The 14,239-nt window shown below is 40.6% G+C and overlaps 1 protein-coding gene across 2 annotated transcripts in view, besides 2 other annotated features; it reads left to right on the top strand.

The window, feature by feature from the left end:
• Nucleotides 1–14,239, top strand: part of TMOD2 (tropomodulin 2) — a 64,767-nt gene that overhangs the window by 34,330 nt on the left and 16,198 nt on the right. For both annotated transcript variants that reach the window (NM_014548.4, NM_001142885.2), the window contains one exon: nt 12,271–12,414. In NM_014548.4, coding sequence (NP_055363.1) covers nt 12,271–12,414 — 144 coding nt within the window. The remainder of the gene's footprint in view (nt 1–12,270; nt 12,415–14,239) is intronic.
• Nucleotides 1,344–1,844: an enhancer, noted in NCBI's record as "H3K4me1 hESC enhancer chr15:52079467-52079967 (GRCh37/hg19 assembly coordinates)". NCBI's record gives its function as "activates a minimal SCP1, AML or CMV promoter by ChIP-STARR-seq in primed H9 embryonic stem cells {active_cell/tissue: H9 hESC(primed)}" and the evidence as "EXISTENCE:reporter gene assay evidence [ECO:0000049][PMID:30033119]".
• Nucleotides 8,795–8,964: an enhancer, noted in NCBI's record as "experimental_39634 CRE fragment used in MPRA reporter constructs". NCBI's record gives its function as "activates a minimal promoter by MPRAs in K562 erythroleukemia cells, with activity observed for both the introgressed and non-introgressed 15:52087003 variant alleles {active_cell/tissue: K562}" and the evidence as "EXISTENCE:reporter gene assay evidence [ECO:0000049][PMID:34662402]".

Genomic DNA, 14,239 nt, shown 5'->3' on the forward strand with positions numbered 1-14,239 from the left:
TATTTATCACTAAAACATTTTAAATTTAACATTTAATTTAAACATTTTTAATTTATTTGGTATAGTCATAGTATAGTCTATAAAAAATAGAGGGACCACAGGAAGATATACGTATATATACATATATATATTCATTTATATGGATAGAGTTTTCAAAATATGATTTTGCTACTGTTTTCTGAAGAGCATCACTCCTAATAGAAATTTTTCCCTTGTCCTTCATTCCAATTCTAAGATGTGGTACACCACCCTCCTCCCCTCCTCACTCCCCGAATCCCCCCTTCTCAAGGGTAAGCTGAGAAGAGAGAGGCAGAACCAAGGGAAAGAAGTGATGATTTTAGGAAAGGTTTTCTTCGTTGTCACTGTGCCTGGGTGATGTTTTATTGGGAGTCCTGGCAGAAAGTCTCCATTTTTAGCATTCAAACATGAGATGAAAAGGCGTTTCTTGGTGGATGACATTTGTGGACCTCAAACCTTATTCTGCTTTCATGTTATAAATTATTATTCTGATATATTTTTAGAATCAGTGAAGCCCTGTGCAATTGGCATCCGTTTAGACATGTCCCCATTTAAGGCTGTTTGGCATTCAATCAGAAAACATATTTTGGGGTTTGTGGTGAACACAAGCCATTTTACAGATGAGGCAACTGAGACTCAAAGAAGTTGAATGCTGAACTAAGATTACACCGCATGTGGCCAAGCCAGGATGCAAATGTAAGTCACCTGTGATTGAGTTTAGTTTACTGTGCCCCAAGCACTTTCATATAACCACATCTATAGCAACTGAGCATTCAAATGGAATTTGTCCCCACTGAATGCCAATGAGAGGGCCCAAATATATTTAAAATGCTACTGTTATTTACAATGATGCCACATAAAAATCAAGAGTTTAGGACAGCACTGTTTATTGGAAATAAAACGTGAGAGGTCACTTCCAAGATGGCCAAATAGGAACAGCTCTAGTCTACAGCTCCCAGTGAGATCGACGCAGAAGATGGGTGTTTCTGCATTTCCAACTGAGGTATCTGGTTCATCTCACTGGGACTGGTTGGACAGTGGGTGCAGCCCATGGAGGGTGAGCTGAAGCAGGGCGGGGCATCACCTCACCCGGGAAGGGGTTGGGGTTGGGGGATTTCCCTTTCCTAGCCAAGAGAAGCCATGAGTGACTGTATCTGGAGGAGCAGTAAACTCCTGCCCAAATACCGCGCTTTTTCCACAGTCTTCACAACCAGCGGACCAGGAGATTCCCTCCTGTGCCTGGCTTGGCAGGTCCCACGCCCACAGAGCCTTCCTTGCTCACTGCTAGCACAGCAGTCTGAGATCCACCTGGGATGCTAGAGCTTGGCGGGGGGAGGGGCATCTGCCATTGCTGAGGCTTGAGTTGGCATTTCTATGCTCACAGTGTAAACAAAGCGGCATGGAAGCTCGAACTGGGCGGGGCCCACCACAGCTCAGGAAGGCCTACTGCCTCTCTAGATTCCACCTCTGGGGGCAGGGCATATCTGAACAAAAGGCAGCAGACAGCTTCTCCAGACTTAAATGTCCCTGCCTGACAGCTCTGAAGAGAGCAGTGCTTCTCCCAGCATGGCGTTCGAGCTCCGATAACGGACAGACTGCCTCTGCAAGTGGGTCCCTGACCCCCGTGTAGCCTGACTGGGAGACACCTCCCAGTAGGGGCCGACAGACACCTCATACAGGTGGGTGTCCCTCTGGGACAAAGCTTCCAGAGGAGGGATCAGACAGCAATATTTGCTCTTCTGCAGCCTCTGCTGGTGATACCCAGGAAAACAGGGTCTGGAGTGGACCTCCAGCAAACTCCAGCAGACGTGCAGCTGAGAGGCCTGTCTGTTAGAAGGAAAACTAACAGAACGGAATAGCATCAACATCAACAGTAAGCACATCCACACCAAAACCCCATCCATAGGTCACCAACATCAAAGACCAAAGGTAGCTAAAACCACAAAGACGGGGAGAAACCAGAGCAGAAAGGCGGAAAATTCCCAAAACCAGAACGCCTCTTCTCCAAAGGAACACAACTGCTCACCAGCAAGGGAACAAAACTGGACAGAGAATGAGTTTGACGAGTTGACAGAAGTAAGCTTCAGAAGGTCGGTAATAACAAACTTCTCTGAGCAAAAGGAGCATGTTCTAATCCATTGCAAGGAAGCTAAAAAGGTTAGACGAATGGCTAAATAGAATAACCAGTGTAGAGAAGAGCTTAAATAACCTGATGGAGCTGAAAACCACAGTACAAGAACTTTGTAACTGAAAACCACAGTACAAGAACTTCGTAAAGCATACACAAGCTTCAATAGCCGATTTGATCAAGTGGAAGAAAGGATATCAGTGATTGAAGTTCAAATTAATGGAGTACAGTCAGAGGACAAGATTAGAGAAAGAAAAGTGAAAAGAAACGAACAAAGCCTCCAAGAAATATGGGAGTATGTGAAAAGACCAAATCTACGTTTGATTGGTGTACCTGAAAGTGACAGGAAGAATGGAACCAAGTTAGAAAATACTCTTCAGGATATTATCCAAGAGAACTTCTGTAACCTAGCAAGGCAGGCCAATTTTCAAATTCAGGAAATACAGAGAACACCACAAAGATACTCCTCGAGAAGAGCAACCCCAAGACACATAATTGTCAGATTCACCAAGGTTGAAATGAAGGAAAAAATGTTAAGGGCAGCCAGAGAGAAAGGTTGGGTTAAGCACAAAGGGAAGTCCATCAGACTAACAGCGGATCTCTCAAGCCAGAAGAGTGGGGGCCAATATTCAACATTCTTAAAGAAAAGAATTTTCAACCCAGAATTTCATATCCAGCCAAACTAAGCTTCATAAGTGGAGGAGAAATAAAATCCTTTACAGACAAGCAAATGCTAAGATATTTTGTCACCACCAGACCTGCCTTACAAGAGCTCCTGAAGGAAGCACTAAACATGGATAGGAACAACCAGTACCAGCCACTGCAAAAACATGCCAAATTGTAAAGACCGTCAACGCTATGAAGAAACTACATCAATTAATGGCAGCAAAATAACCAGCTAGCATCATAATGACAGGATCAAATTCACATATAACAATATTAGCCTTAAATGTAAATGGGCTAAATGCCCCAGTTAAAAGACACAGACTGGCAAATTGGATAAAGAGTCAAGACCCATCAGTGTGCTGTACCCAGGAGACCCATCTCATGTACAAAGACACACATAGGCTCAAAATAAAGGGATGGAGGAAGATCTACCAAGCAAATGGAAAGTAAAAAAAAGCAGGGGTTGCAATCCTGGTCTCTGATAAAACAGACTTTAAACTAACAAAGATCAAAAGAGACAAAGAAGGGCATTACATAATGGTAAAGGGATCAATTCAACAAGAAGAGCTAACTATGCTAAATATATATGCACCCAATACAGGAGCACCCAGATTCATAAAGCAAGTTCTTAGAGACCTACAAAGAGACTTAGACTCCCACACGATAATAATGGGAGACTTTAACACCCCACTGTCAATATTAGACAGATCAATGAGACAGAAAATTAACAAGGATATCCAGGACTTGAACTCAGCTCTGGACCAAGTGGACCTAATAGACATCTGCAGAACTCTCCACCCGAAATCAACAGAATGTACGTTCTTCTCAGCACCACATCGCACTTACTCTAAAACTGACCACATAATTGGAAGTGAAACACTCCTCAGCAAATGTAAAAGAACAGAAATCACAACAAACTGTCTCTCAGACCACAGTGCAACCAAATTAGAACTCAGGATTAAGAACTCACTCAAAACTGCACAACTACGTGGAAACTGAACAACCTGCTCCTAAATGACTACTGGGTAAATAACGAAATGAAGGCAGAAATAAAGATGTCCTTTGAAACCAATGAGAACAAAGACACAGCGTACCAGAATCTCTGGGACACATTTAAAGCAGTGTTTAGAGGGAAATTTATAGCACTAAATGCTCACAAGAGAAAGCAGGAGAAATCTAAAATCGACACCCTAACATCACAATTAAAAGAACTAGAGAAGCAAGAGCAAACATATTCAAAAGCTAGCAGAAAACAAGAAATAACTAAGATCAGAGAAGAACTGAAGGAGATAGAGACACAAAAAACTCTTCAAAAAATCAATGAATCCAGGAGCTGGTTTTTTGAAAAGATCAACAAAATAGACCACTAGCAAGACTAACAAAGAAGAAAAGAGAGAAGAATCAAATAGATGCAATAAAAAATGATAAAGGGGATATCACCACTGATCCCACAGAAATACAAACTATCATCAGAGAATATTATAAACACCTCTACGCAAATTAACTAGAAAATCTAGACAAAATGGATAAATTCCTGGACACATACACCCTCCCAAGACTAAACCAGGAAGAAGTTGAATCTCTGAATAGACCAATAACAGGTCCTGAAATTGAGGTAATAATTAATAGCCTACCAATCAAAAAGAGTCCAGGACCAGACCGATTTACAGCCGAATTCTACCAGAGGTACAAAAAGGAGCTGGTATCATTCCTTCTGAAACTATTCCAAGCAATAGAAAAAGATGGAATTCTCCCTAACTCATTTTATGAGGCTAGCATCATCCTGATACCAAAACCTGGCAGAGACACAACAAAAAAAGAGGATGTTTAAGCCAGTAATGATGAACATTGATGTGAAAATCCTCAATAAAATACTGGCAAACCGAATCCAGCAGCACATCAAAAAGCTTATCCACTATGATCAAGTCGCCTTCATCCCTGGGATGCAAGGGTGGTTCAACATACGCAAATCAATAAACATAATCCATCACATAAACAAAACCAACTACAAAAACCACATGATTATCTCAATAGATGCAGAAAAGGCTTTCAACAAAATTCAACAGCCTTTCATGCTAAAAACTCTCAATCAACTAGGTATTGACGGAACGTATCTCAACATAATAAGAGCTGTTCATGACAAACCCACAGCCAATATTATACTGAATGGGCAAAAACTGGAAGCATTCCCTTTGAAAACCGGCACAAGACAAGGATGCCCTCTCTCACCACTCCTATTCAACATAGTATTAGAAGTTCTGGCCAGGACAATCAGGCAACAGAAAGCAATAAAGGGTATTCAAATAGGAATAGAGGAAGTCAAATTGTCTCTGTTTGCAGATAACATGATTGTATATTTAGAAAACCCCATAGTCTCAGCCCAAAATCTCCTTAAGCTGATAAGCAACTTCAGCAAAGTCTCAGGATATAAAATCAATGTGCAAAAATCACAAACATTTCTATACACCAAGAACAAACAGAGAGCCAAATCATGAGTGAACTCTCATTCACAATTGCTACAAAGAGAATAAAATACCTAGGAATAGAACTTACAAGGGATGTGAAGGACCTCTTTAAGGAGAGCTACAAAACACTGCTCAAGGAAATAAGAGAGAGAGTACACAAACAAATGAAAAAACATTCCATGCTCATGGATAGGAAGAATCAATATCATGAAAATGGCCACACTGCCCAAAGTAATTTGTAGATTCAACACTATCCCCATCCAGCTACTGCTGACTTTCTTCACAGAATTGGAAAAAACTACTTTAAACTTCATATGGAACCAAAAAAGAGCCTGCATAGCCAAGACAATCCTGGGCAAGAAGAACAAAGCTGGAGGCATCACGCTACCTGACTTCAAACTTTACTATAAGGCTACAGTAACCAAAACAGCATGGTACTGGTACCAAAACAGATACATAGACCAATGGAACAGAACGGATGCCTCAGAAATAACACCACACATCTACAACCATCTGATCTTTGACAAACCTGACACACACAAGCAATGGGGAAAAGATTCCCTATTTAATAAATGCTCTTGGGAAAACTGGCTAGCCATATGCAGAAAACTGAAACTGGACCCTTTCCTTACAGCTTATACAAAAATAAACTCAAGATGGATCAGAGACTTAAATGTAAGACCTAGGACCACAAAAATCCTAGAAGAAAACCTGGGCAATACCATTCAGGACATAGGCATGGGCAAAGACTTCATATCTAAAACACCAAAAGCAATGGCAACGCAACAAAAGCCAAAATTGACAAGTGGGATCTAATTAAACTGAAGAGGTTCTGCACAGCAAAAGAAATTATCATCAGAGTGAACAGGCAACCTACAGAATGGGAGAAAAAAATTTGCAATCTATCCATCTGACAAAGGGCTAATATCCAGAATTGACAAGGAACTTAAACAAATTTACAAGAAAAAAGCAAACAATCCCATCAAAAAATGGGCAAAGGATATGAATAGACACTTCTCAAAAGAAGACATTTATGCAGCCAACAGACATATGAAAAAATGCTCATCATCACTGGTCATCAGAGAAATGCAAATCAAAACCACAATGAGATACCATCTCATGCCGGTTAGAATGGCAATCATTAAAAAGTCAGGAAACAACAGATGCTGGAGAGGTTGTGGAAAAATAGGAATGCTTTTACACTGTTGGTGGGAGTATAAATTAGTTCAACCATTGTGGAAGACAGTGTGGCAATTCCTGAAGGATCTAGAACTAGAAATACCATTTGACCTAGCAATCTTAATAACTGGACATATACCCAAAGGATTATAAATCATTCTACTATAAAGACACATGCACACATATGTTTATCGCGGCACTATTCACAATAGTAAAGACTTGGAACCAAGCCAAATGCCCATCAATGATAGACTGGATAAAGAAAATGTAGCACATATACACCATGGAATACTATGCAGCCATAAAAAAGGATTAGTTCATATCCTTTGCAGGGACATGAATGAAGCTGGAAACTATCATTCTCAGCAAACCATCACAAGATCAGAAAACCAAACACCGCATGTTCTCACTCATAAGTGGGAGTTGAACAATGAGAACACATGGACACAGGGAGGGGAATATCACACACCGGGGCCTGTGGAGGGTGGGGTGCTAGGGGAGGGATAACATTAGGAGAAATACCTAATGTAGGTGACAGGTTGATGGGTGCAGCAAACCACCATGGCACGTGTATACCTATGTAACACAACTGCGCATTCTGCACATGTAACCCAGAACTTAAAGTATAAAAAATAAAAAGAAATAAAACATGAGCCACAAATGGAAGCCCCATGTATAAATTTAAATTATTTAGTAGCCACATTAAAAAAAATACATAGTAGACAAAATTAATTTTAGTAGTAAATAGATGCTCCTTGACTTACAATGGGGTTATGTCCAGATAAAACTACTGTAAATTGAAAATCTTTATCTGAACATAGCCTCATCATAAGTCAAGGAGCATACTGAATAAGTATCACTTTCACATCATGGTAAATTCCAAAAATGGAAAGTGGAACCATCGTAAGTCAGGGACTCTCTGTATTGTATTTAAACCAATATATCCAAAATGTAATTTGAAAATATAATGAGGTATTTTGCATTCTTTTTTTCATACTACATCTTTGAAATCCAGTGTGTTTTATGTTTGCAGCACATTTCAAATCAGACTAACCAGTTTTCAAGGGCTCAGTAGCCACATTTCTCATGGCTACCATTTGGCCAGTGCAGAAATTTGCATTTCCATACAATCCTATAAAGTACAGACAGCAAACCCTTCTCTTTAAAGATGTATTTCTACTCTACTTCAATTACATTTAAAACATCTAGTCTTTGTTTTACTAATGTTATTATTCCCAGCACATGTAATATGCTCAAATATTTGCTGAACTGAAGTGAACCTGGGCCTACAGCCCAGTATTGTGTTTGGCTGGCTCGCCCCTGTTTTGTTCAGCACAAGAAAGTGTTTTCTCAAGTTTAAAAGAAATTGGCAAGATCCTGGCAACTCGCCAGGAGGTCCTGCAACTTTCTGTAAAGGCCTAATTGCTCTGACATTTTGTTATTCTAATAATGATAGTAAATCCCAAAGCTTGTAGAGTCCAAAAGGAAAGTCCTGATGCATCCCTCTCTGATGATCAGATTAAAATGTATAGATTTAATTTTAATCAAGGACCTAGCACAGAATAAATGCACTTTAATTTACATGGTATGCGATAGTGTAAATCCAAATTGTTGAGCTTTCTTTGCAGTGCAAGCAACTGCCTGACCAAGATACAGGATTATTCTTCTAGTCCAGTGGTTCTCAACCTAGGGCAATTTTGCCCTCCAGGGGACAATAGGCAGCATCTGGAGATATTTCTGGTTGTCATGATGGGGAGGAGTGCTATTGACATCTAGTGAGTCTCAGAGGCCAGAGATACTACTAAATATCCTTCAATACACAGGACAGCCTCCCACAACAAAGAATTCTTTGGCCCCAAGTGTCAGTCATGCTGAGGTTAAATAACCCTGTTCTCATCCAATATTGGGACTTCTCGTCTTCCTTCTTCCTGTCTTTTCCACTGTAAAAACAATTAAAATAGTTCAGAACTTTTTTGTTCTACTCCCCAGAAGCAATCACTATTAGCAGTTTGTTTTTCATTCTTCTGGTTGTTGTCTTTATGACTTTAATTAAAGTGGTTACTGGCTCATGCCTGTAATCCCAGCACTTTGGGAGGCCGAGGCAGGAGGATCACTTAAAGCCAGGAGTTCGAGACCAGCCTGGGCAACATAGAGAGACCTGTTTCTACACCAAAAAAGAAAAAAGTGGTTGTCAATCCTAACTGCACATTATTCACCTGGAGAGCTCTTCAGAAATGCAGATGGCCATTCCACAGCCTCAGAGATTCCGATTTAATTCATCTGGGGTAAATTTTTTAAAGCTCCCAGACCATTCTAATGTGTGGTCAATGTAGAAAACCAGTAATATACAGAAATTTATATTTTTCATTTATCATCTTAGAAAATTTTTTATTCTCTATTATAAAAGATGAGGGTAGTTCTATACTTAATTTTCCATTCCTCCTTTCTCTTCCACTTCCAAATTGTAGATATTCCATTATTTTCACACATTTGAGCTTTATACATTTTCTGTAATTATATTCTGTGTTTGTATATAGATTGATTCCAAAAATTAACCTATTAGCAGCATTTACAATTATATGACTTATATAAATATAAATCTCCATTCTCATGGGCCTTACAATGTAGTGACTAGTGCTGACCTGATTTTTGATCCTTTGCAGGTAACTTGTTTTTCCTTGCTAGAAATTTTTAGTACTCTCTTTCCTCTTGGAATTCTGAAATTTCACTTGTCTGTTCACTTAAGAGTCATTTTGGTCCGGGTGCGGTGGCTCACACCTGTAATCCCAGCACTTTGGGAGGCCAGGGCTAGTGGATCACCTGAGGTCAGGAGTTCGAGACCAGCCTGGCCAACATGGTGAAACCCCGTCTCTACTACAAGTATATAAAAAAAATTAGCCAGGCGTGGTGGCCCATGCCTGTAGTCCCAGCAACTTGGGAGGCTGGGGCAGGAGAATTGCTTGAACCAGGAGATGGAGGTTACAGTGAGCCGACACAGTGCCACTGCACTCCAGCCTGGGCAACATGTCAAGTGAGACTTTGTCTCAAAAAAAAAAAAAAAAGTTTTTTTTATTCATTCTGCTGAGTGTCTAGTTATTTCCTTCAGATAAAGATCCGTAACTTTCTTCATCTCTGGGAAATTTATTTTTTCTCCTTAATTATTTGATAACTTCTTCTCTTCTGCTTGCTTGCTTGCTTTCTTTCTTTCTTTCTTTCTTTCTTTCTTTCTTTCTTTCTTTCTTTCTTTCTTTCTTTCTCCTTCTGGAACTCTTCTTAGATGAATGTTGAATCTCTGCATCTTTCATCCACATCTCTTAAGGTTTTCTCATAATTTCTATCTTCATCTTTTTGCTGTATATCCTTGGAAATATCCTCAGTGTTATCTTCTAGATCACCAACTTGGTCTTCAGCCATGCTTATTTTGTAATTCTAGATGTCTATTATTTTCTTTTATTTCAATGTAGTTTTTTTAAATGTTCAAAATGTTTTTCTTTTCTCTGTCTCTCTCCGCCGCCCCCCACCCCCCACCCGACTTTTTCTCTCTTTCTTTCTTTTTCTTTTTCTTGTGGGGCAGGGAGGAAAATAATACATAATCAGAATTTTTAAATTTGTGTCTGTTTCTTCTATGGCATATTGACCTGCTTGGTCAACTTTATTCTTTCATGATGTTGGTTTTCTTAAAATGTCTGGCAATTATTGGTTCCCTGTTTATAATGGAGAGCAAGGTTGGTTTGTATAATCCAGGATCATTTCTCCTGCAGTTGTATCTATCTGTTTTACCAACAGACCTCTCCCTTAAAAAGGAGGCCCCTTTATTTTTCTCCATTTGTCACCATCTGATAAGCTATATATTTTATTTATTAATTTATTGACTCTGCCCTCTTGCTCAAATATAAGCCTCTCTGAGGACAAGGATTTTTGTTTTCTCTTACTGCTAGAGCACAGTAGAAGCCTGACAAATAGTCTTTTTTGAATGTATGAGTGAGAGCTTTTTTTCAGCAGCAGGTGTGCTGACCTGCCACCTTCTCTGCAGTGTGTGTATAAGGAGCTCACAGGCAGCCTGAGAGTCCCCTGCAATCGCTACAGTTAGGAGGACTTCATTCTGGGAGGGGCACCTTTCAATGTATAGTAGTCCCCTTATCTGCAGAGGTTTCAGTGGATACCTGAAACCACAGATAGTACCAAACCCGATATGTGCTATGTCTTTTCCTATACTACACACCTATAATAATGTTTAATTTTTAAACTAGGCACAGTAAGAGATTAACAGCAATAACTAATAATAGAACAATTATAATAACAATATGCTGTTATAGAAGTTGTGTGAATATGGTCTCTCTCAAATATCTTACTGTACTATCCTCCTCCCTCTTGTGATGATGACATGAGATGGTAAAATGCCTGTATGATGAGATGAAGTGAGGTGAATGACATAGGCAAGGGGACTGCGTTAGGCTACTGTTGCCCTTCTGACCATTTGTCAGAAGGAGGATCATCTACCTCCGGTGATCCTGGCTCATCCAGCCATGACGATGTCAATGGTTGGATGTCAAAAGCAGACAGTGTCATTGGTTCATAGGCAGGGACAGCACGGAGATGCTGGACAAACAGATGATTCACCTCCTGGGCGACATAGACCATAAGATTTCATCATACCACTCAGAACAGCATGCAATTTAAAACTTATGAATTGTTTATTTCTGGGGTTGTCCATTTAACGTTTTCCCACTGAGGTTGACAGCAGGTAACTGAAACCGCAGATTGCAGGGAATACTGTACTTCATTCCTGGCAGAGCTGCCTTTCCCATTTTCCCCCCACACTGTACTGGTGTGAAGGTCTGGAGGCGCCTCTGTTTCCGCACTGCTTCTGTCACAGGTCGCAGCACCTTCACCAGAGGCTCTTCCTGGGAGACTTCATTGATTGTGCTGGCAGCTGCTCTTTTTCCTGGAAGGTGCTGGGAGGGATAGTGTACTCTCCATCTGCCCTAGCTGTTCCATCTGTTCCTAAGGCGGTTCTTTAAGGAATTGCCCCAAATGGGACCTATCTCTAGCAGCTCAGGCAACAACTTGCTTGTGCTAATTTATCTGTGAATCTTTCTATTTTCTGTATTTCAGCAATTCCTCAAGATAATGGCCTTTTGTTTTGTTTTGTTTTCTTGCACTGTGAGAATTCCAGTCTCTTAAAAATTATATTATTTCTTCCTGGTGGTGGGAAACTCTGGGAGTAAAGAGAGCCGGCAGGTGCCCGTGTGCAGTCCGCTGTCTCAAACTGGAGTCTCCCATGGGTTTGCCACCCTCAGTGGTGATTTTGTTCCAAAAGTTATTTTTTAAAAATTCTGATTTATACATGATCTGAAATAATATAACTAAATCACTAGTTTCCAAGTGCTAGTCAATGGTAAAGTTTTTTTTTAATTAATTCATAGTAAAGGAAAAAAACTGGGTTTTCTGGGATTATGTCCTTTCTACCTTTTTTCTAATGTTAAAATGTGTTTTCTCAAAAAAAAAAAAACAGTAGTGGTTTTTTTTTAATGTCTCTACTTAACAAAAAAAATCTGTAATCCTATGTCAGTATCTTTTTTAAAAATAGTTTTTGCAAGTATGTGAAATTTATGTCTAGACTGCTGGACTGAAATATTTTAATTGTGGTTTTAAATTGTATCTTTGTTACTTGGAGGTGAAAGTATGATTTGATGAAGGTTTTCTTTAAGTGCTAGAAAACATCTGTATTTAATTTGGGAGTGAGGGGTTTAGTAAATTAATCTTTAGAAATTCTAACTTAATTCTAAGTTTTTTTTCTTTTTGCATCATAAGGCTTTTGCAGACATGCTGAAAGTAAACAAGACCTTGACAAGTCTAAACATAGAATCCAATTTTATCACTGGAACTGGGATCCTGGCCCTGGTAGAGGCACTGAAAGAAAATGACACCTTGACAGAAATCAAGATTGACAACCAGGTAAGGAAGGCCAGAGAATAGGCAAAGTCAACTCACAGGGTGTGCAGTGAGCGGGGGAAATGCCACAAGGAATGAGTTAAAAGACACAGTTCTGTGTGTGACTCAATTTGATGTACTGGATTTCCTGTAAGTTTTAGAACCATTTCTGGCCCATGGAGGATGTGCAGAAGAGCATGTTACTAATCAAACAATGTACAGTGGGGCAGCCTGGGACATAAAGAGCCATCTATCCCACAACCCTAGGCTAGTCAGGCTCCAGAAGAGAAAGCAAGGAGGTGGTGGCAGAGGTGTTGATAGCTGCTTTATTCAGTCTCATCATTGTTGCCTTTTGGCATGTATCTCTTCCCTGTACTATCCCAGCCTTACTTTTGCTTCTCACTGGGACTGTTGCTAACAGAGAAAGCAGGGTAGCCGTGTCCAAAGATTCAGATTTCTTTTCCTTGGCTGAAGACTTCTAGAACCAAAAGAGCAGATGCAGGCTCCTGCAGTCTGATGCTGGCTGCAGAGAGCCTATTTAAAGGAATCAGGGTTCTAGAAGATGGTCTGGCTTAGAGTAGCAGGCCACACCCATGAGATTGTGGTCTGATCACAGTCTCATTGATCATGACCACAGCATTTCTCAGGTTCCCGTCTGCAGCCAAAGCAAGGTGCTTTTCCCTAGAGCCACCTCTTCCTGCCTGGCGACCTCTTTTTCCCAGCGTCAGCCTGCAGTGCCTTCCGAGTTGCTCTGCTGGCTTCAGCTGACTCCTGCCCACAGACAGCAACTCTCAGTGATCAGCCATGATGTAGAGCCCTGCTCCTCTGGCCATGGGGAAGGGTCTGTGATGGGGTTCCAGACACTATATCTTGAAAAGAAAGGGCCTTGGAAAGGAGAGACCAAGGAGACTTGTGGTATGAGCATTCGTTCCCCTGTGGGATGGTGGGAGAGACAGTTGGGGAAGTGACTGCTCAGAGCATCCTTTGCATGTCTGGGGGCCATCTCTGGGAAAGTTCCTGGTGCAGACCCTCCAAGATCTGATAAAGCCGCAGAGTGCCATCCAGGACTGTTGCCTAACCCTGGAAACCCTCAACAGTTCCTATGGAGGCTCTATTCTCTGTCTTTGCTAACCAGGACAAGCAGACTGTTTTCAGTGCAGGCCCTCTGGCCCTGGACTAATGATGTTTGTTGCCAGGGGAACACAGAAAGCCCACTAGGAGAGAGGAACTTTTACATTCGCATCCTGCCAGAAGGAATGTGCCACCAAAACGGCTTTCCTAGACACAGAGATGTGGAGGCAGCACCCCAGGGGATGTGCCACACAGGGCCCCGCACACTCAGGAAGTTCGATGCTGTGTATCCTAGCATATGTCCAGCTGCTAGTAAATTAGAAAGTGGCATCAGGGTGTGGGGGAGTAAGGAAACAAGCCAGAGAGAAATATGAAGGGAGAGAACAGAAGTGATCACTCAGGGATATTTGTTGAATAGACTCATATCAGGAAGAAGCTAAGTGGGCACTTAGTAAATATTTCCAGGGAAACTAACACAGAAGTGGATACCCTGTTCCAAAGTATATTTAACTTTGTTTACGGATTTAGGCCATTGTGAAACCCCATATCTGAAATAATATCACACACTCTGTCCCTAGTTCCTTACAAGATACCACCTAGCTAAGGTTGCCACATAAAATACAGTTAAATTTGGCTTTCAGATAAATGATGTATAAATTTTAGCATGTGTCATCAAATATATGGGATACCTTATACTATACTAAAAAAATTATTTGTTGTTTATCAGAAAGTCAAACTTAACTGGGTGTCCTGTATTTTTATTTGCTAAACCTGGCAA

Source organism: Homo sapiens, chromosome 15, assembly GCF_000001405.40.
Source record: "Homo sapiens chromosome 15, GRCh38.p14 Primary Assembly".
Taxonomy (NCBI): domain Eukaryota; kingdom Metazoa; phylum Chordata; class Mammalia; order Primates; family Hominidae; genus Homo; species Homo sapiens.